The sequence below is a fragment of the Homo sapiens genome, chromosome 15, assembly GCF_000001405.40.
Source record: "Homo sapiens chromosome 15, GRCh38.p14 Primary Assembly".
Lineage (NCBI taxonomy): Eukaryota > Metazoa > Chordata > Mammalia > Primates > Hominidae > Homo > Homo sapiens.
Window position 1 is genome coordinate 84822851 of NC_000015.10, and position 22686 is coordinate 84845536.

The 22686-nt window shown below is 48.1% G+C and overlaps 1 protein-coding gene across 1 annotated transcript in view, besides 2 other annotated features; it reads left to right on the forward strand.

Moving 5' to 3' along the window:
• The window catches only part of ALPK3 (alpha kinase 3), a 56124-nt gene that overhangs the window by 5495 nt on the left and 27943 nt on the right, over nucleotides 1-22686 (forward strand). Inside the window, exons 2-5 of the mRNA NM_020778.5 lie at nucleotides 480-518; nucleotides 4634-4755; nucleotides 16130-16247; nucleotides 16852-18082. Coding sequence (NP_065829.4) covers nucleotides 480-518; nucleotides 4634-4755; nucleotides 16130-16247; nucleotides 16852-18082 — 1510 coding nt within the window. The remainder of the gene's footprint in view (nucleotides 1-479; nucleotides 519-4633; nucleotides 4756-16129; nucleotides 16248-16851; nucleotides 18083-22686) is intronic.
• Nucleotides 4111-4611: an enhancer, noted in NCBI's record as "H3K4me1 hESC enhancer chr15:85370192-85370692 (GRCh37/hg19 assembly coordinates)". NCBI's record gives its function as "activates a minimal SCP1, AML or CMV promoter by ChIP-STARR-seq in naive H9 embryonic stem cells {active_cell/tissue: H9 hESC(naive)}" and the evidence as "EXISTENCE:reporter gene assay evidence [ECO:0000049][PMID:30033119]".
• Nucleotides 17913-18406: an enhancer, noted in NCBI's record as "ENSG00000136383_15:83184998-83185491 (NCBI36/hg18 genome assembly) insert fragment". NCBI's record gives its function as "drives selective reporter gene expression in differentiated C2C12 myotubes {active_cell/tissue: C2C12}" and the evidence as "EXISTENCE:reporter gene assay evidence [ECO:0000049][PMID:22144875]".

The following is a 22686-nucleotide window of genomic DNA, read 5'->3' on the forward strand; positions in this document are numbered from 1 at the left end:
TTAACATATTAATGATGGGTGTTCTCCAAGCCACCTGTCTCTCCTAGCCTCTCAGGGGATTTCCAGGAATGGGGCTCTTTTCTCCCAAAGGCCAAGAATTGAAGCAGGAGCTTGCCCCCAGGCTGGTGTGCTGTGGGGTGGGGAAACATGCCAGGCAGCTGTAAGCCTCCCTCTTGGGGGCAGTGACCCAAATGCCTGGGACACACCTTTCTCAAAGCACAGCCCCAAAGGGCCTCCTTCCTGCCTAACCATTTTCCTGGACTCTGCTGCATTTAATGAGCTCTTGGTTTCAGATACATTGGTGTCCGGTGGTCAGGCCAGTTGCTAAATGGAGCAGGCCAACTAAGACAGCTGGTCCCTTTTAATAGAAAGGCTTCTGGGCCCCAGATGGTGGCCGATTAATAGTTTGCGACTGTTGATTTCGCCTACTTCCTTCTTGCTTTTTTGGCCTAATGATTCCATTTGCTGTTTTTGCTTAGCTTATCAAGCAACCGGTTGTCTCACCCCAGCTCTGGAAGGTAAATGCATATTGCACTACATTTCTCTGACTGCTTTTTCCTTGGGTCTGGGCATTGAGGGGCCACTGAGTGTCTGCTCGTGCACTAACCAGGCTGCATGGGGTGAGGGGAGAGCTGGAGGGTGGGTGGGGAGAGTGCAAGAAGGTACTCAGGTGAACATGGCTCTCACAGGGGGCCAGAGTTGATGCTTGCATGGGCCATTTGAGATGGGCACAGGATCTCAGGAATAGAAATATGGGCAGGGGTCTCTGAGATGCCTGCAATGACATCTCTGTGTCCCTAGGAGACACCATGGGAACAGAACAGAGAGCCATGAGTCATGTCACATGACCCACCTCTTCCCCATCCTAGGTTTTTTATTTCTTAGGGACAGGGTCTTGCTCTGTCATGTTGCCCAGGCTGGAGTGCAATGGCTCCCTGTAGCCTTGAACTCCTGGCCTCAAGGGATCCTCCTGCCTCAGCCTTCTGAGTAGCGGGGACTACAGGCATGCACCATGATGCCTGGCTAATTTTTAAAAATTTTCTTGTAGAGACAGAGTCTCACTGTGTTCCCTGGTCTTGAACTCCTGGCTCCAAGGGATCCTCCTGCCTTGGCTTCCTAAAGTGCTGGGATTACAGGCGTAAGCCACTGTGCCTGGCCCCAATTCTAGGTTTTCATGTTTTTTGTAACCACATACCTAGGTGTGATACCTTATTGTCTATCTTCTTCTAACCATGGTAACTGCCTTTTAAAATTTTTTTCTGCAGTCATTTAAGTTCTCCTTTTACCTCCTCTTTCTCTGAATTTTCCTTTCCTTTGGTTCCTCCCCATCCCTGAAGACTGTGAACTCTGTGAGATCAGAGAATACCACGTTAATGTATTCCTGCATAGCTTATTCTCTGAATCTGCTGCAGAGTCAGGGCAAGGTCTGGGCAGGCTCATGGTCCAGGTTTGCTGGGTGAATGACTGTCTTCTTGCCTCCTGAACTGAGGACAGCTCTTTACCCTTGGCTGAACTGACTGTTACAATCAAAATGGGAACATTTCCTGGCTACTTCCCACCACTTGGGCCTCATCCCAGACTCTGATAGTTTTGGGGAGAGCTAGCTACAGTTTCTTCACACAGAAAAAGATTTCAGAATAGCTAACTGGTTTCTAAATAGCTAATGTTTACAGACATGATTAGCAACTACTATGTCCATGGTCCTTGATGGGGATGAACACTGAGGAGACTTTGTTCTGTGTGGCTCATGGGTGGAACTGAGGATATCACAACTAATTCCAAGTGGAGTGTGGTAAGCGTTGACAGGAGACGACCTGGGCAAACCAAACCTTACCTAAGGGCGAGGTTAGGTTCCACTGAACATCATGAAAACCAATGATTCTGGTGTTCTTTAGAGACATATGATTAGTCTGTGATATCCTTGTGAAGTCATGGAGTTGGAAGGACTTGTCAGGGTTGGACAAGACCATTTCCAGATGTGTGGACTTCCTGGCTTTCCAGGGTATAGGGTGCAGCACACTCAGAGTCCATCCCACATTCGAATGGTTTGGAGGACGGGGACAGAAAGCTTGTGGCAACGAGAAGCTGTATGACATTCAGCAGAACATGACAGTATATACAGTGACTCTCCCTGTGCCTCCAAATGTACCCCAAACCCACTTCCCTGAAAGAGAAGGCTTTCAGCTAGCCACCCTTTCAGCTGTTACTTATTTTCTAATGTAAACATTTTTTTATAATACAGCTTAGGACCTAATGTGGAAAGTTTGAGAAGATATGTTCTTTTCCATTCAAAAAGAATGGTGAAGTAAAATAACTACTTGTTTTTATTTTATTATTATTTTTTTTTTGAGGCATCTCTCTCTGTCACCAGGCTGGAGTGCAGTGGCGTGATCTCGGCTCACTGCAACCTCTGCCTGCCAGGTTCAAGTGATTCTCCTGCCTCAGCCTCCCGAGTAGCTGGGACTACAGGCGCCTGCCACCACGCCTGGCTAATTTTTGTATTTTTAGTAGAGACGGGGTTTCACCACATTGGCCAGGCTGGTCTCGATCTCTTGACCTCGTGATCCGCCAGCCTCAGCCTCCCAAAGTGCTGGGATTACAGGCGTGACCCACTGCACCTGGCCTGTTTTTCATTATCTAGCATGAGCATTTGTCTCTGCAAATTTTCTTAAAACATAGTTTCCCTGTTGTCTCACTTATCCAGTAGCTGAAATGATTTCCTTAGACTTGTCCAGGCGGCTTCATACCTAGGAGCTTAAGCTGAATATTGGATCCAGGCTCAAGGTCATGGATGAGATAGGATTCAAATTATGCAGGGAGGACATAATTAGGGATGGTTTGAATTAATTGCAGACTCATGGAAGTAGGATTATGTTTAGCCTGGTGGTTTCTGGAAAGTGTTGATTGAGATTTGATATTTCCCCAAATCAGAAATTGCTGTTAGTATGATAGCAGCAAGAAACGTTTTCAGATATTAACACTTCCTGAGTGTTCAGGGAGTTAATAGCCTAGGCCCTGAGGACCCTCTATTTCTGAGTGGCTTAAGAAGAAAAGGAAAAGAAGCTTATTGCACAGATGAGTTGTAGGCAAGGGAAGGTTGTAGGGAGTGTTACAGAACATGTCTAACTGCAGACCCAGCTCAAATGTTCAGGTATGTGAGATTGGGATCCCCTTTATGGGTGATCTTTGTGGGGGAGGGCCCTTGTCAACTCCATGAATGCCCAGGTATCTACATTCCTGTGGTGAAACCACAGCAGGAACCCCATCAGTTCAGAAGTCTTACTTGATTCCAGATATTCTCTGGGGTACAACCCTTCTCCTCAAACTCAAGTCTAGAATAATATTCACAGAAAAGATACATCGAATGTGGAATCCCTCCCCACAAAGTGGAGGGTTCTAGATCCTGTTTGCTTCTGCTTCCACAGACTCTCTTAGCCCCTGGCAGAGAGGCCATGGACAGACAAACATTGCCCTTGGGTGACCATCCCTTCCTCTAAGGCACAGGGAAAGGCACCTTTGAATGATGTGTCTTTCTCACTACAGTTTCTCCTGCTTCTCTTCCCTTTGCCCCCTCACAGTCCTCTCTGCCGCTCACAATGGGATGTGTGCCTGGGGAGGGAGGGCCGGGCACGGCTTGTGCACCACACAACCTGCCTTCAGGTGGCGCTTCACACCTAGGAACGCACTGTGTCTCTGCTGGCCCTTGAAAGGGTTTGGCATGGTAGTTTGCTTCCTGGGCCCAGGAAGGAGAAGACTGTAAGCCTGAGCATTGTTGGTGAGTTTGTACTGGACTCAGTGCTTACTGATGCCCCTGAAATCTGGGAGATGGACTGGAGAAGGGAACTAAAAGTTCTGGCTTTTGCAGGGGTGGATCCGTTTGTGGTTTGGCACTCCTGCTGGTTGGTCCTGGAGCAGCCAACCATGTTTCACTTCAGCATGTGGTATCCAGGGATGGAGCAGGGGAGCCACAGCTGGCTTTCCAAGGCTGCTTCCCAGCCCCATTTCGGCTGGGTCTCTCCTTTCTGATACCCTTATGAATTAGAGTCCCCCCTTGGGTCTAGACCCCTAGCATTGGCCAGCTTATTCTTTGTCCATTGTGGGTCTGCACTCACAAATGTAGGAGCTTTTTTTCTGAGCCCAAGCTCTAGGAGAGGCTCCTGTGCTCTTAGGACCCTTGAATCACTGAGGGTTGGCTGGCCTTCCCCTCTTGGCATGAATGAAGGCTCTGCTATGCTGGGGGCTCCATCTCTGAGGCTTGACCTACTTATCTGTGTGTCTCCCTCATGCACCAGTGTCCCTGGAGATGAAAGGTGCAGGGTGAAGTAAGGCCCCTCAAACAATGATGGGATGGGACACCTGGGCTTGTAGACTGGCATGCTCAGGAGCCTGGCCCATGGTCAGTAGCTTGCCTATTGTAATGGGTCTGGGCCAGGATTCCATTCAACCCCTTGATACCTGGCCCCAGCCTGGCCAAGAGGCACAAGCTGCCTTGAAGAAAGACTTGCCGGGGTGCTGCAGCTCTGGCCACAGGAAGATGGGCAGGCATGGTAAGACGGAAGCTGCCTTGGACAGGCCAGGCTGTGCTGTTTGTTGTGGGGAAGGCCAGCTCTGAATAGCTCTTTGCCTCTCTTAGGAGCACCTTCTGCTCCATCATTGCTCAGCTCACAGAGGAGACCCAGCCGCTATTTGAGACCACGCTCAAGTCCCGGTCTGTGTCCGAGGACAGCGACGTCAGGTTCACCTGCATCGTCACAGGTAAGGATGCTGTCTGTATGCTCCATGCCAGGGCCTCTGCACAGAGCAGGGTCCAAGGAGGCTGTGAGGACAGGAATGGTGGGGTGGCGGGCTGTGTGCACAAAACTACGTGAGGTGACATTTACTTTCTGAGCTTTCTCTCTAGTTTAACATCCCTGTGTGGGCTGGTGCCCCTTGCTTCCCCCATTCTGGAGCCACATATATACCCTACTCTTCTTCAGAACCTGTCCTCAGTGAAGGTTCCTGACCCTCAGGGATACATCCATGACTAATGGCCTTATTTGTTGCAAGAAAAGAAGTACTCCAATGGAAAGAGATCTTTGAGGCCATCTCCCTGAGTATCCCCATGTTATAGTTGAGTAATTTGAAGGTTGGGAGTCTCAAGCCTGAGAGGAGAATTGCATGTGGTGATTCTGACTACAGACCCTGGAGGCAGACTGCCTGGCTTGGAGTCCTGGCTCATCCCCTTTCCAATGATGTTACTGAGCACGTTATATAACCTCTCAGCTGCCTCATCTGTAAAGTGGGGATAATGATAGGATGCACTTCATAGGGTTATTTGAGACTGAATGAGTTAATACATGCAAAGTGTTTGGAGTAGTACCTTATGTACAGTAAGTACCACATAAGAGTTAGAAACTGACTGTTACTTGCATTTCACTGAGCTTCGTGATGGAATTTGAAGCAACCGTTTGGCAGAATAGGAAGCAGAGTGATACTCCTTGGAAGGGGAAGATAATGGGTGGGAGTGCTGGGAGGGTGGTTCCAGACATTGCCTCTCCCCCAGATCACCCAGTAGAGACTCCAACCTGACCAGCCTCAGGGCCCGCAGGACCCACAAATGGGTACCCACCCCTCCCAGCTGTGCAGCTATTAGATCCCAGGCCCAGGCTCCCTCTGGAGAGCCTGTTGTTTCTGTAAGTCAAGGTCATTCGTGGTTTCCAGCTGTGAATTCTGGCGGACTTGATTACCCCAGCCAGTAAACAGCTTCTCACTTGGGCAGTTCTCACCCTTACTCAACCCTCTGAGCTGCAGACTGAGAACACTCTCTGCTCCGAGCGACATAGGTGTGCATCCCATACCTTTGTATGGCGTATGGTGAATTTCGCAAGTTGTCTGTTTCCATTGTCATTGCATTCTTACAAATCCCTATGAAGTAAGTGCTATTTTTAGTCAAATTTTACCAAGGAGGAAGCTGAGAGAGGCTGATGCGTTGCCAAAGTCCGCAGCACTAGTGAGGGAGACACTGCTTTTGCTCTCCGGCATCTGATGCTGCTTCCCGCCTGCATCTCCTGTGTTACTGTGGCACTTACAGTTTCCTAGAAAAACCCGGTTCTTTCACAGCTTCATGCTTTTGCACATCTCATTTTCTCTATTTAGAAAGTCCTTAATCCTTCTTTTTAAAGAAAATTAAATTTTACTTTGTCAAATAAATATATGCACATAATTAAGACTTCAAATTATACTAAAAGGCATATTTCAAAATACAGCAGTTCACCCCTCTCAATTTGTCTTCCCAGAAGCAACTGTTTTCAGCTTTTAGCTGTTTCTTCTGGCATGTATACATTTCCATCATGCTGAGTACTACGTGAAATTCTTCAGTTTTAGATGTTCTCTATTGTCTTCCTGTTATGGTAGATAAGGAATTAGCTCTTTTATACCATCATTTTCTCTGTTTCCCTGAACTTATCTTCTTCATATAATTATGTTGACAGCAGTTGTGGAACTTTGGTTCTTATCTTCTTAGTTTTAAAAACTTGAAACAAAAGACACACAGCAAAGGAGATAGAACAATTTATTGCAAAGGAAAAAGAATACTGTAAAAGTTAGGTGCAGAATAGACAGGACACCCTGAGAGAGAGAAGATTCAGCATGGGCTTCTCGTGAGGATGAGACAGCAAAGACTGGTACCTAGGGCGACTCCGTTTCTGTAAGTCTTACATGATTATTCATGAGGAGGTAGGAAGCGGTGTTGCTCCTAAGCATGTTCTGGGTGGTCCTCTGGGTGCACATGCGCAGTAGCTGTACATGCTGTTTATACATCGTGAGTATCTGGGACTACAGGCGCGTGCCACCACACCCATGCTAATGAGACATGCATCTTAAATCTCCACCCAGGGGTGTGCTTTTTACTATTACAATGAGCAAAGGGTGAGTTTGAGGACAGGTAAAATCAAAATGCTCCTGCTCTCTACATGGGAATTCCCTACTGGAGATAGCTTTGCTTGAAAGAACTTTAGAATGCTCATGCTGGGGCTTATTGTGTTGACTGTATAGTCCGGATGGTTGCTGTGTCCTGAGGACATGGTTACTTCCTTGACTCTTATTAATGATAGTTTTCTAAAACTATCCTGCTTCAGTTATATCATAATTTTTGCTTTAATCAACATTTACTGTTTACCTTATTATGCCTATACAATATTATTCATAACTGAACATTGTAGCATACTATGCTTGTATTTTTTCTTTTGTTTTTCCTGAGGTTAGTACTTTCCATAGTTTTTCATTTGTTTCTTTTTTTTGTATCTGTTGCTAATTTTTCTTATACCTCCTAATAGCCTCTTAATACGATATTCTGCAAGGTCAATGACATCAGTAATCTGGCAGTTACTTTCCTTGGAGATATTCCTCTTGGAGCTCTCCATTCTTCTTTTATCTGAACTGCTAGGCTTTTAGGGCCTGATACACAGCTGTTATCCTGGCTCTTCCCTTTGCTTTTCTGTGGATTTAATTCAGCTTCCTGGATCTCATGTCTTCCTTTCTTGGTTTATTTTTTTGCGTTATTGAATACTGCCCCAGTGGTTTCATCAGGTCCTGAAGATGGTGCAGAGGGCATAGTGATGGCAAGGTCTGGACCTTGCTCTCCCTTGAGTCCCTCTGGTCTAATGTGCCTTCGTTTCTCTGCATCTGGTACACAGTTACCATCCTCTAGATTTGGTTTACCTCTCTTCTGTGGTAACTTTCTGCTTTTTGTATTCTACATTTTTTTCTTTCTTGATTTACATTCTTATTTTGGCAGCTTTCTAGAAAGAGTACATGGGAAGTAGATGTTGGATTCCTTGTGTCTGAAAATGTTTTTGTTTGTTTGTTGGTTTGGTTGGTTTGTTTTTTGAGGCAAGATTTCCTCTGTCACCCCGGCTGGAGTGCAGTGGCATGATCACAGATCACTGCAGCCTCAACCGCCCCGGCTCAGGTGATCCTCCTGCCTCAGCCTCCTGAGTAGCTGGGACCACAGGCATGTGCCACCACACCCAACTTATTTTGTGTGTGTGTGTATGTGTGTGTGTGTGATAGAGACTAAGTCCTACTATGTTGCCAGGCTGGTCTCAAACTCCTGGGCTCAAGCAATCCTCCCACCTTGGCCTCCCAAAGTGCTGGGATTATAGTAGGCATGAGTCACTGTGCCCGGCCTCTTTTTTTCTACTTTACTTTTTCTTGCGAATTTGGCTGGGTATAGAATTATAAGCTGAAAATAATTTCCCTTCAGAATTTTAGACATTGTTCCATTATCTTTTTGCTTCCAGTGTTGCTTTTCAGAGTGAGAAGACAGTTTGATCCTAATTCCTTGCATGTGACCAGTTTTTCTCTCTGGAAGCTTGTAAGAGTGTTCTGGTATTTCATAATGATGTATTTCGATATGGGTCTCTTCACCCTGGAACATGCTTAGATGCTTTCAGTTGGAAACGGAGAGCCTTTAGTTCTGGGAAATTTGATTTTATCCTCCTGTTTTCTGTCGTCTTACTTTACAAACTCCTGTTTGGATAGCTGTTCCCCTGGTCGTGGACTTTTATTTTCTTATCCTTTATTCCCCTTTCATCTATTTGTCTTTTGCTCTACTTTCTGGGAGATTTCCTTAGTTTTATCTTTCAACTCTTCTACTGAATTTTAATTTCCAAGGGTTTTAATTTTTGTCATTTTCTGTAGCATCCTGCACTTTTCATGAATGTAGTATCTTTTCTTAGCTCTCTGAGATGCTTATTAATGATAGTTTTCTAAAAGCTTCCTTTTCCTTGCATAGTTTTTCTTCTGTCTTGCTTTTTCTCTGTTTAATTTAATTTTGTCATTAATCTTCGATTGTAGGCTTTCCTCCCATATCTAGAAATCTTTGGCTGTCAGATAATGAGCAAGAGTAGGAGACTTAAAAGCTGATCAGAAGTTCTGAGCAAGGAGGAGGGGCCTGAAAACTTGGCTGTTTACTGTAGGGTGACCTAGGTAGCCACTGTTGGGAACTGCCAAGTAAGTTTCTTTAGTTCCTTCCTCTTGAACTTGCTAGGTTTCCTAGCGAAAGGTTTTCTGGGAGTTATGCAGATCAGAGGGTTGGGTGGGCTCTCAGCATAAGACATTTATTTTATGATATATGGTTATTACATTTTTCTATTTTTCATAGAATAGTCATGCCCTCAGTTATGCTGGCTTACTCTCAGGGCAGATTTTTACATTTCCAAATAATAAACTTCATCTTTGGCTGTGGTGGGGAAGGAGCAGTCATCCAGTGAGATAGAATGGTTGAAGGGTTCCAAAGATTTATTTTTTAAGCATCTTTGAACCTTTCCTCCTTCCTCTTTCTCCCAGTTCCAGAGGTACCAAATTGCCAATTCTTAGGCCCTTTGGGGATTTTCTGGTGTCGAAAGGATAGTTCTCAGTTTTCTCCACTGCTAGCTTAGGGTTGAGCTGTCTTGAGTCTGCTAAGTCAGTTTCCACTTGTCCATCTGCTTTCTAACTTTCAAAATTTTGTTGCTCCTATTACTCTCCTTGCCTGTTCACTTCATCTTTGTGCTTTTACATATGTTGATTAAAAAGTCTTTTCAGGGCAGTTTAGTGAGTTTGAGGGAGGGTATGAAGATAGATGGCATGTTCATTCTGCCTTTTTACCTAGAAGCCTACTCTTTTTCTGCCTGGCAAATTCCTTCTCATCTTTCAAGGGGCTTGCCCTCTGGGAGGTCATCTCCAGTGTTTCCAGGAGAGCTCTTGCTCCATCCTCCACCACATAGTTTTTTTGTTTACACATCTCTCTCTCTCCAACAAGATCGTGACATCTACAAGCACAGGGCATACACCTGACACATCATGCCTCTCCAGAGCTGGCACAAAGATGCTCAGTACATATCAAATGACCACAGTGAAGCTTGACTGTGCTGATGACAAAACCAGTACCTTTTCCACTTGCCATATTGCCTGTTCATTTCAGCCACAGCTTTGGTACCTTGGTAACAGCGGCTGCAGTGGGGACCTGGGACCACTTGAGAGAGGCAGGTGTCAGGGATGGCTCTCCCTCCTCTCCTTTTCCATTCTGTTCTTTGTAGCCATGGAGTTTAAGAGCAATGTGGAGATGTCAGACATGAGTCTGGCTTATAGAATCATGGGGTATTTTATCAAATACTCCCAGTGTCATCAAGGAAGTAAGCTGTTCCCTGTTTCAAGCCCAATCCAAAGGAGCAAGCTTTTCTGCCACATCTCATGATGACCAGGCAGGGCTGCTCAGACATTTATTTTATGATATATGGTTGTATATCACACAACCTACCTACTGTGTATATCATAGCACTTACTGTGCTGAGACCTACAACGCCACCAATGGAGTCTGTAAGGTTTCTGGGGCTCTGGCTATCTCTGATATCCATACCTTAGTCCATTGTTGATCTTCTCCTTTCCTGCCCCCACTCATCCTCACATACATTCAGAATCTCAGCTTACCTGAGTTTTGTGTAGCACATTAGGAAAGAGGTCTCTATGATCACCATAGTACACCTCAAACAAGCCTTTTCTAATTAGCAAGGAGAAAATGCAGGCTGTAGGAGAGGGAAAGGAAGGAGAGGAGGGGCAATGCAGAAGGTTCTGCAAACTAAAGAGTCAGGGTTAGACACGGGAGCTCTCTAGTCTGGAGAGGTGGAAGGTGGATGGATCTCTGGCTGAGACTGGCCTCTCTGTGAGGCTGCTGTTCTGCTCTTGGCTTGTCTCCAGAGTGACCATACGTGCACTCTTCCTTCCTCACTGCTGATAGCATTTCCTAAACAAGGCTAGGATGAGTCAGCCCACCAGGGCCCTGTCAGGCAGAGGTGATGCTTTCCTGGTGGTCAGAACTTAGTCCAGGTGAGGGAGAGTCATCTGCGCCAGTGCTCCTGCTGGCTGACCTGTGATGGAAGCCCTTGGGGTCACAGAGAAGACAGGCAAGGCCCTGGGGTTCTTCCAACTCACAGTAGGCTTGTGGGAAGATAGTGGGCCTCCGCTAGCTCCTGTCTCCCCCAGGGACCCCTCTGGCCAGAGTGCTACTGTCTTCCTTGAGGCAGCCTACTGTCTCCAGCACAGGGGCTTCCCTCCTCCACTCTCCTCAGCTCTGTTGTAGATTCTGTGTTGTGTGTGTGTGTGTGTGTGTGTGTGTGTGTTTGCATGTGGGTGCACATGTTCATATTGGGATGGAAGGAGGAAGCATCAACAGTGGGCAAGTTGCACAAAGGGATTGAGTCTTCTGAAACAGGACCATGTTCCTGAAGAAACTTTTTTTAGAGAAGTAAGTCTAATATAATGACTGTTGGAAGCAAAAACTTATATATTGGTCCCAGAAACCCCAGTGGAAAGAGTACTGGAGAAAGGAAAAGGAAACCTAGGGCTTTGCCATTTGCCAGCTGTGTGACCCTGGGTGTTACTTAGCTTCTTTGAGCCTCATTTTCCTTTTGTATAAAATAGGAATTAAAATACCAGCCTGTGTTATAAAAGAGAGAGATTTGAATTCTGGCTCTCTACTTGCTAGCTAGATAACTTTGGACAAGAGCTTTAATTTCATGAGCTGGGATTTCCTCGTCCTTAAATTGGAGATTAGTAGCAGAGTACATTCCTCATAGGATTTTTGTGAGGATTAGATGAGATAATACATGAGAAGTATTCAGCTTAGTATCTGGCACATAGTAAGTCTTCATTAATGTTGGCAATCATTTGCACAGGAGTGTTCTGAGGGTCAAATGAAATTCTATGTATTTGAAAGCTTTTTGAAAACTTTAAATTTCCATTCATTATTCTTTTGAATCGGAGCTTCTGTGAACTGGGAATGGTTGGGACAAGGCTGCAAGTTTCCAAGCTGGGTTCTTGAGTCAGGTCTGCTGGCTGTGAAACAGAGGCCACAGGGTGTGAAGGGGCTGAGGGAAGGCCACAGGCTCAAGTGCCGCCATGGGCTGTCCTGGCCAGGGCCAGAAGTGTGTGCACACCTGCCTGTGGACATGCACAAATGCACAGCTGGGAGTGAAGGACCCGGAGCCCTCCTGCTTTTATGCATTTTAGGATATAGTTCACATTATTCAGGGCTCAAGGCAATGTGTTCTCCCAAATAAATTTGCTTCCAAAGCTCATTGTGGCTATGAAGCCCTAAGCTGTCGGGTTGGCCCCCACTGTGTAGAGGCAGCACCAGAGGGTGGCATGGAGGCTGAGGCCCCAGCCCTGGGGCTGTGGGGTCCATTCAGCTCCTCCCTCCTTGCCCCACCCCTGCCCTCTTGCCCAAGCATTTGACTGGACTCAGATGCCCTGGAGACTGAGGCTGTGCTGGGCAGGTCATGGGGCAGGGAGGCTCTGAGCTGGGTCCTTGTAGGGATGAGATCATCTCACAGGATGGTGAGGACACCTGTGCTGGCTCTGGTCACACACACAGTGATGTAACCAGGGGGTTTAGCTCACAGTGGAAACATGGGGCTCGCTTTACAGCCAGGGCTGCCCAGAGTTTGTTCCTGGCCGACGCTGCTGCAGCCTCGCCTCCCCTGCTCCCTGCTCCTGTACACAGTTCCCCAGCATGCCCTTTGCTTGTCACCCTCCCCCTCTCATGTTGGGGTTCCCTTGTCAGGCATGCCCTTCCCATCCACCTTGTGTGTTCACCCTACTTACTCATTTACTTATCGTCCCACAGATTTCTTTTAAGTAATTACCACACCACAGTGTCAGGCACTGTCTTAGGTGGTGGGGATATAGCAGTGAACAAGATACAGTTTCTACCCACATGGGACCTAAGTCTAGCAGGAGAGATAGGCAAGGAAATAGTCAATGACAGTATTGTGATTAGTGCTGTGAAGGGGAAGTGCAGGTGACGTTAGAGCTGAGGGGAAGCGGGAGATCAGAGGGACTGAACCCATCTTTCCTGAAATCCTGCCCACCCTCCAAGTTGAGTTCAGGTGCCACTCACTACAAAAGCTTTCCTGAGTCCCTAGCCAGAGGTGATTGCTCCCTTCTCTGCAGCCCTAAGCACTTAGTGCATTGCTTCATTTATTCATCTATAAATATTTGATGAGTGTTGATTCCATACCAGGGACTATTCTAGGAACTGGGGACACAGCAGTGAATAACACAGATAAGTCCCTGCTGTCATGGAGCTGATATTTGTCATGGAAAGGATGGACGTAAACCAACACACTCCTAAGTGTATAATATGTCAGGTAGCAATGTGTTCTATGAAGAAAAATAAATGTAGTAAGAGGAATAGCAAGTGCCTGGGAGACAGCATTGCTGCTTTACACGGGGTGGAAGGGAAGGCCTCTCTAGGGAAGTAACAGAGCCCTGCAAGAGTCAAAGCCTGGTGCTCCTGTGGTGTGTGAGGCAAGCCAGCAGGACCACATGGGTGGGTGCATCAAGCTGGGGGAGAGTGGAGGGAGGTGGGGCCAGCATGGTCACAGGGCCCAGATCATGAGGGCTGCGTGAAATGGAGCTAATTGGGGTGTTTTGAACAAAGGGGTACCATGATCTGACATTATTTTAAAAGGATCACTCTGTCTTTTCTGCTGAGAATGGGCTGAATAGAGCCAAGCAGCAAGATCAGTGAGGAGGTTATTAAAGAAATTGAGGTGTGAGATGATGGGAATGTGGACCAGGCTGTTGGTGGGGAATGGCAAGGAGTGATCAGATTCTAGATATATTCTAAGGGAGGGCCAGCAAGATTGCCTGATGGAGTAGAGGTGAGGCAAGTAAAGGAATACAGCATTGCCTCTAGGTTTTGGCCTGAGCCAAATATAGGGATGAAGTTGCTATTTACTGAGATTTGTGGGAACTGGCTTGGAGGGCGGACTAAGGAGCTTGGATGGGACATGGTAAGCTTGATACCTCTTGGACCTTCAAGTGGAAATGCCAGATATGCAGTCAGAAATAACGTCCAGGGTAGAAGACTGGGCTGGAGATAGAAATTTGGGAGTCCATGAGCATACATATATTTGAAAGCCACAGGACAGAATTAGGACCTCCTGGGTTGTGAGTATGGATAGAGAATGGAAAATGGTTCTGGGGCCTGAGCTTTGGGGCAAGTCTAGGTGGGAGGGGAGGACTGATGAAGAGCTCAGGAAAAGTGGCCAGTGAAGTAGGAGGAGCAGCCAGAAAGAGCGGTGTCCTAGAAGCAAGTGAAGCAAAGGTTTCAGGAAGTGGGGTTGGTGATGCTGATGGGTTAGGCAGATGGGCATAGGAATTGGATTTGGCAATGTACAAGTCATGGGTGACTGACAAGAGCAATTCTGGTGCAAGAGAGGCTATAAAGTCTGATTTGAGGAAGGAAAATGAAGATAGTGAGTACAGGCAGCTCTTTCAAAGAATTTTTCTGTAAAGCAGAGAGCAGAGAAATGAGAGCAGGGGCTGGAGGAGGCTGTGGGGTCAAAGGAATTTCTTTTTAAAGAAGGACACAGTAGAGCAGGCTTGTACGCTGATGAGAAAGATGTAACAGAGAGGAAAAGTCTGATGATGCAGGAGCGAGCAGGAATAATTGCTGGAGAAATGTCCTTGATTAGGCACGAGCAGGTGGGATCCAGTGAGGGGCCGCTTTACTTAGGAGCGTGGTGCATCCGTAGGCAGTAGGAAAGGCAGAGCGCCTGTGCAGATGCTAGGTGCATTGCTGCCTTGTGCGGGTGCATGCCATGTCTCACCTTTTCTATCACACAGTAAGCTCCTGGAGAGCAGAGACCGTGTCTTATGTGCTTCTGTGTCCTCATAACCCTAACTTGCCAGTCATATGTACTTAATATATATCTTTGAGTGAATGTATGTTAGCAGTCTCATATCAAGCAAGTAACGCAGATCAGTCAGCTTAAGAAATGAAGCAGGATTCATTGGTAAGTCCAGAGGGGCTTCTTATGGAATTGACAAGAGGAGGGCAGCTGTGCCCAGGCAAGGAATGGAACTAGTACTTGGAAGCATCTTGCAACTCTCTCTGTCTTCCACCTCTTATTCAATCCTGAACATCAACTTCCTTTTTCCATCTCTCACTGTAGTGTTTGCTTCTCAGTCCATGTGGCAGAACATGGCTGCTCTACTCTTTTGAAGCTAAATTTTTCAGATACAATGGTAGACTGTCTCTAGGTCCTAATTCCCAAATACCTGGTCAAAGAATTAGCTAGATTAGCTGATCTGGTGTCCGTTACTGGACCAATCCACTATGGCCAGAGAGGTAAGGGACACGTGACAGTAACAGCTGGGAGCTCCTCCTGTGGGTGGGCTGGAAGTGCCCAGAGAAGGGGCTGGGCAGACACCTCAGTCGGTGTCACTGCAGTGACAGGGTGGGTAGGAAGGTGTAGATGTGTGGACAGATGGATAATAGGTAAATGAATGAACGGGTGGACAGATAGATGCTTTAGCCATGTTTTCAAATAATCCTAACAGCTCAGGAACCTGAAATGAAAGGAGGAGGGCTCTTAGAAGGGATGATCATGGTGGGACATAAGGGAGGAGACCCCTGAGGATAGAGCCCTTACTGCAGTTGAGGAAGTAGAATGGGCCACTATAGAAGGAAGCTTATTCCCAGTAGCCAAGGATTTCTGGAAACTCCTTGTCTCCCTTCCCATTAGGAAGCTAGAAAGTTTCTCCTCCATATTTTCCTTCCTATTGCTGAAGGGGAATTGTTTTCAGCTTTGACAGGGACCAGCTTCTAAAAATAAGCTGAGCTATCATACAGTGGCTCGGTTCTTCCAGCAAGCCTGGGGCAGGTGGTCCTGTCCAGTCTCTTCAGGTGGTCTGGGAAGCCACGGCCTCGTGTTCTCTCCTCCCATTATTATTATTATTATTATTATTATTATTATTATTATTGAGATGGAGTCTCACTATCGCCTAGGCTAGAGTGCAGTGGCAAGATCTTGGCTCACTGCAACCTCGGACTCCTGGGTTCAAGCGATTCTCCTGCCTCAGCCTCTCAAGCAGCTGGGATTACAGGAGCCCGCCACCACGTCCGGGTAATTTTTTTGTAGTTTTAGTAGAGACTGGGTTTTACCATGTTGACCAGGCTGGTCTTAAACTCCTGACCTCAGGTGATCTGCCTGCCTCAGCCTCCCAAAGTGCTGGGATTACAGGCGTGAGCCACCGTGCCCGGCCTCTTCCCATTATTTTGGAACTGGCCTTGCTGTAACCCAGTCTCCTGCTTCTTTCTCAGGATACCCAGAGCCAGAGGTGACCTGGTACAAGGATGATACGGAGCTGGACCGCTACTGTGGCTTGCCAAAATATGAGATCACTCATCAGGGCAACCGCCACACACTGCAGCTGTACAGGTGAGGGAGAAGGGCCTGTTTTGCTCTCTCTGCCCTCCCGAGGGCCCTCTGGCTGGGGTCCTGCCCTCAGAAATGGAGCAGTCTGGATGGAGATGCCCAGGCACTCTCTGGGGATGGAGGGCAGGATTCTGCTGTGTGGTTGAACCACCTGGTGAACCACATCTGCCTTCCGGTGTCTGGGAGCTCCTAAGGCCAGAGTGGGAGTATTCCTGACAGTCAAAGAGCTGGTGCAGCCAGCAGAGGTCCTGACCTACAGAAATATTTTCCATGAGGTCAGCGGCCAAAAAAAGCAACTGTATCATCATGACTTCACGAGGGGCTGTGTTGGTCACCTGCTTCTGAAGGGAGCTCTCCTGGGCCCCAAGTCTAATCCCTCCTGGGACAGTATGGCCTTGGTCAGCCGCCACCTTTTTGCCAGCCTCAGTTCCCTCAGCTGTAATGGAGGGTGTTGTATGTTGTGACGTGTGAGATGGGGCGTAGCACACGGCAGGGCTTGCTGTAGGGAGGGGGAAGTGTGCCCGGCTCTGAACGGCTCTGGCTGGGGGGTGTGGGGGCTCTCACCTCCCAGGAGGGGAGAGGTGGCACCTCCCGCTCCTACCTCTAGGTGTCGAGAAGAAGATGCCGCCATCTACCAGGCCTCTGCCCAGAACAGCAAGGGCATTGTGTCCTGCTCAGGGGTCCTGGAGGTGGGCACCATGACTGAGTACAAGATCCACCAGCGCTGGTTCGCCAAGTTGAAGCGCAAGGCTGCGGCAAAGCTGCGCGAGATCGAGCAGAGCTGGAAGCACGAGAAGGCGGTGCCTGGGGAGGTCGACACTCTGCGCAAGCTCAGCCCCGACCGCTTCCAGCGAAAGCGGCGATTGAGCGGGGCTCAAGCGCCGGGCCCCTCGGTCCCTACCAGGGAGCCTGAGGGTGGGACCCTGGCGGCTTGGCAGGAGGGAGAGACTGAGACTGCTCAGCACTCAGGTTTGGGCCTGATCAACAGTTTTGCTTCTGGAGAAGTGACCACCAACGGGGAGGCTGCCCCCGAGAATGGAGAGGACGGAGAGCATGGCTTGCTGACATACATCTGTGACGCCATGGAGCTGGGGCCTCAGAGAGCCCTCAAAGAGGAGAGTGGGGCCAAGAAGAAAAAGAAAGATGAGGAATCCAAGCAAGGCCTGCGGAAGCCAGAGTTAGAGAAGGCAGCCCAAAGCCGCCGTTCTTCAGAAAACTGCATCCCCAGCTCAGACGAGCCTGACTCCTGTGGGACTCAGGGGCCCGTGGGCGTGGAGCAGGTTCAGACCCAGCCCAGAGGCAGGGCTGCACGGGGGCCTGGGTCCTCTGGCACAGATAGTACCAGGAAGCCAGCCTCTGCTGTGGGCACTCCAGACAAGGCCCAGAAGGCCCCTGGCCCAGGCCCAGGCCAGGAAGTGTATTTCTCCTTGAAGGACATGTACCTGGAGAACACCCAGGCAGTCAGGCCTCTTGGGGAAGAGGGACCCCAGACCCTGAGTGTCCGGGCGCCTGGGGAGAGTCCCAAGGGGAAGGCACCCCTCAGGGCTAGAAGCGAGGGGGTGCCTGGCGCTCCTGGCCAGCCCACACACTCCTTGACCCCCCAGCCGACTAGGCCTTTCAACAGAAAGAGATTTGCCCCTCCAAAGCCCAAAGGAGAGGCCACCACTGACAGCAAGCCCATTTCTTCTCTGAGTCAAGCTCCAGAATGCGGGGCCCAGAGCTTAGGAAAGGCCCCACCTCAGGCCTCTGTGCAGGTGCCGACGCCCCCTGCCCGGCGGAGACATGGCACCCGGGACAGCACGTTGCAGGGGCAAGCAGGCCACAGGACTCCAGGAGAGGTAAGTGTGGGTGTTGGGTGCCTGGAGGCCGCTCTGGGAAGCTGACCTCATGGAAACTCTTGCTGCAACTGCTGGGCAGCCAGTGAGCAGTGGGCTATTTATAGAAAGGGGTGGGGAGGGACTGGAGTGCCAGCTACAGGGACCACAGGCATGCCCTTTGCCCCAGCCAGTTTCCAGATGCCAGGCATGTGGGCAGCACAGCCTGACTGTGACCCTCTTCTGGGAGTGTAGGAGTTCACAGCCAAGGGGACTGTGCCCCGGAGGGAGATGGAAGAAGATAATGTTCTCTGGGGTGGGAAAGGGGGCCAGTGGAGAGCTTTCTGTGGGCTTTGCTGAGGCAACAGTGTTTCATGGGGGAGACGGAGGAGCAGGTGTGCGCTGTAGTGTACAGCAGGTGGCAACTTGGCTACTCATTCGATTTTTAACAAAGCTGAATGTCCAGGAAATGCTGGTTAAATCTGGGTTTATCTAAGGTTCTGGAGTCAGGCATACCTATATGCAAATCTGACTGCCTTAACATGGCGTGATCTAGAGCAAGTTGTAAAACTGGAAGAATAATCATAACAATACCTACTTCGTAGGGCTGTTGTAAGAATCTGGTGCCCTCTAAGAACTAAGTAAGTGGCAGTTGGGATCAGATATGACTATGGTGGGAAACAGAGGCAAAGTGTTTTTACTTGGTAACAGGAGTGCCATCATCTTCTAGGGAACAGGTAGCTGACAGAGAAAAGATTATGTTTTGTGTGGAGACAGGGGTAGTGGAGTGTCCACTCCCCAAAGAGGCAGATGGGTGGCAGCGTTAAGGAGCTTGAGGGGTGGGATTGAGAGGGCAGGAAGGAAACAATTCGTCCCTTTTGGTTATTTCTTTATGTTTCAGGGGCTTGGGGGGCATTATTTCACAGTGGTTTTGGGAGACAGAGTGTTTTATAGTGGGACAGAAAGAAGACAGTGTTTCTTATGAGTGGCAGAAGGAAAAGTATTTCAAGAGTGGGGCTGGGGTGGATAAAATAGATAGAACATATTTACACTGAGACAAATACTGGTTATTTATTTGAAGTCCCAATTTAACTGGGTGTCGGTATTTCTTTCTTTCTTTGGTTTGTTTATTTGTTTGTTTGTTTTTTGAGATGGAGTTGCCCAGGCTGGAGTGCAGTACAGTGGTGCGATCTCAGCTCACTGCAGCCTCCGGCTCCCGGGTTCAAGCAGTTCTTGTGTCTCAGCCTCCAAAGTAGTTGGAATTACAGGTGTGAGGCACCATGCTCAGCTAATTTTTGTATTTTTAGTAGAGACAGGGTTTTGCTGTGTTGACCAGGCTGATCTTGAACTCTTGACCTCAAGTGATCTGTCCACCTCAGCCTCCCAAAATGTTGGGATTACAGGCGTGAGCCGCCGTGCCCAGCCCAGTATTTCTTTTTGCTAAATCTGATAACCTTAAGTGGAGACATCCTCTGGTTTTGGTGAGAACTAAGATGAGACTGTTTCTTAGGATAGAGGAAGCAGTTATAGATCGGGAATGGCTTCATGGGGGAACAGGAGGAAAGCAGTGTTTCCCAGGGGTAGGGACAGAGGACAGGTGGTTTCTCGGAGCAGTGAAGGGAAGCACATGAGGGACAAGCTGATACAGCACCTGGCAGAGGGCAAAGGGGAAAGGATGCTTTGTGGAGAACAGGAGGGGCTTTCCCATGGAGAGAACTTTCATGGTGGGAAGGAGGGAAAGACTAGTTTTAAGGGTGACCATGGGAAATGGTTTTATTTCATGGGTGCTAAGGTTAGACTGTAGGAACAGTAGTTCAGAGGGCTTTGGAGTGGAACAAACCTCAAGGACCTAAAACCAGACTTTCTGGAACCTGTTCCTGACTCTTGTCCCCCTCATGCCTGGTCTCCTGTAGTTTTGGCCACTGGAATGGTAAGTTCACAGTGGCCCGGGGAAGGCTTTGTGGGGCTGCTGCACATGCCTGACAGCCCACAGGCTGGACAGCAGGGACTTTTGGAAGAGATGGCTCTCATAGGCCCTCATAGCTCATTTAGGAAGGGACCAGGCTGGTGGCCAAGTGAGTGTGCAAATCTGGCTTCTCTGCCTAAATGGTGAGGAACCCAATACCAGATGGTGGCATCCTCCTGGTAGGGCCAGAGGAGGAAGTACCAGCCCCCTCTTCCTTGCCTCCCAAAGGTAGGAGGAGGGGCTCAGGCAGTGTGGTACCTGAGAAGTTGTCTGTGTTGGTTCCACTGCTCCAACAAAAACCTCATGGTTAGGCTGGGTACAGTGGCTCATGCCTGTAATCCCAGCACTTTGGAAGGCCGAAGCAGGTGGCTCACTTGAGGTTAGGAGTTTGAGACCAGCTTGGCCAACATGGTGAAACCCCATCTTTACTAAAAATACAAAAAATTAGCCGGGTGTGGTGGCACGTGCCTGTAATTCTGACCACTTGGGTGGCTGAGGCAGGAGAATTGCTAGAACCTGGGAGGTGGAGGTTGCAGTGAGCAATAGTTTAGATAGTCTCATGAGACTAAGGAGACAAAAATTAGAGCCCATGGTCTCAAGAGTGGGAGCCCTTGTAAGCCCCCTGGGTTTTGGGTTGGGACTCTGAAGGTTTGTACCCTAGGAGAAAGGGGAATCAAGTAAATTAGTCTCACGGTATTGAGTTACTGACGAGCTCCAAGTTACATGGATAACTAAGAAATATCTCAATCCCTGAAATTAGAATTAGGTGGTTCAAGATACCTAGTGCCCTCAGGCACCTGGCAGAAGCAAACAAAAATCATATCTGGAGGATGACAGCATCATCTTAAGCCTGAAATTATTTTTAAAAAGTATTTCAAATATAATATTCAGCATGAAATGAAGATAAGTCCACAGAAGATAGAAATTGGCCCACAGGTTGCCGGGCACAGTGGCTCACGCTTGTAATCGCAGTACTTTAGGAGGCTGAGGTGGGCAGATCACTTGAAGCCAGGAGTTCAAGACCAGCCTGGCCAATGTGGTGAAACCCTGTCTCTACTAAAAATATAAGAATTAGGCCAGGCATGGTGGCTCATGCCTGTAATCCCAGCACTTTGGGAAGCTAAGGTGGGTGGATAACAAGCTCAGGAGTTCAAGACCAGCGTGGCCAAGATGGTGAAACCCTGTCTCTACTAACAATACAAAAATTACCTGGGCGTGGTGGCGGATGCCTGTAATCCCAGCTATTCGGGAGGCTGAGGCAGATAATTGCTTGAACCTGGGAGGCGGAGGTTGTGGTGAGCTGAGATTGCACCACTGCACTCCAGCCTGGGTGACAGAGTGAGGCTCCATCTCAAAAAAACCCAAAAAAACAAAAAACAAAAATTAGCCAGGTGTGGTGGTGCATGCCTGTAATTTCAACTACTTGGGAGGCTGAGGCACGAGAATCACTTAAACCTGGGAAGCAGAGGTTGCAGTGAACTGAGATTGTGCTACTGCACTCCAGCCTCGGTGACAGAGTGAGATTCTGTCTCAAAAAACAAAAGAAAAGAAAGAAATTGGCCCACAGGTTTCCAACTTTTGGAATTATTAGACATGAATTATAAAATTAAAATTAGTTTACCTCCTTCATATATCGAAGGAGATAAGAAGACAAGATTGCAAATTTCACCAAATACCTAGAAACTATAAAAAGTGGAAAAGGCCGAGCGCAGTGGTTCACGCCTGTAATCCCAGCACTTTGGGAGGCTGAGGCAGATGGATCACCTGAGGTCAGGAGTTCGAGACTAGCCTGGCCAACATGGTGAAACCCCATCTCTACTAAAAATACAAAACTTAGCTGGGTGTGGTGATGCACATCTGTAATCCCAGCTACTCAGTAGGCTGAGGCAGGAGAATCGCTTGAACCCGAGAGGTGGAGGTTGCAGTGAGCTAGGATCACGCCACCGCGCTCCAGCCTGGGCAACAGAGCGAGACTCCGTCTCAAAAAAAAAAAGGTGGAAAAGACTTGAAAATGAACCAACTAGAATTCCAGAGCTGAAAAATACAATAACTAATATTATTTATTCTGGTTATGGCAGTTTTATTTCTGGATAAGATGGAGTAAATACACTTGATTCTGTATCTCCCACTGAATGCAGCCTAAAATTTAGGCAAAATGTATAATACACCTACTTGACAACTTTGAAAAGCAAATAGTCGCAGACAGATTGGGGATGAAGACCAGAACTCAAAGTACCACTGAACCTACGGTGTTTACTTTTTTTTTTTTTCCCTTCTGGCATTTCCTGGCCTGGTCTTAATGCTGTTTGAAACCCAGATGTAAACATTAACTTGGGCAGAGAGAGTTCCAGAAGCCCTCTAGATCAGCCTTCAGGAATGGAAAAGAGATTTCTTGGCAGTGACAGTGGTAGCAACAGAGGCCACAGGTGCCTAAAACTTTGAGAGAAGAGAATCTTCCCCTCTATTCAGAGGAGCTGTGATCCTAAGAGTGGGACAAGTCCCTGTTCCTTTTTTTTTCTCCTGGGTCTCTTCCTTGGTCCAGATCACAGGCTCATGTGTGAAACAATGTGGCAGAGAGGGGTAAAGGAAGCTCCAGCTATTTGGCCAGAAGACTGAAAAAGGGGGCCCTATGGGGGAAACCGTGGAAAGGGAAAAGCTTGGG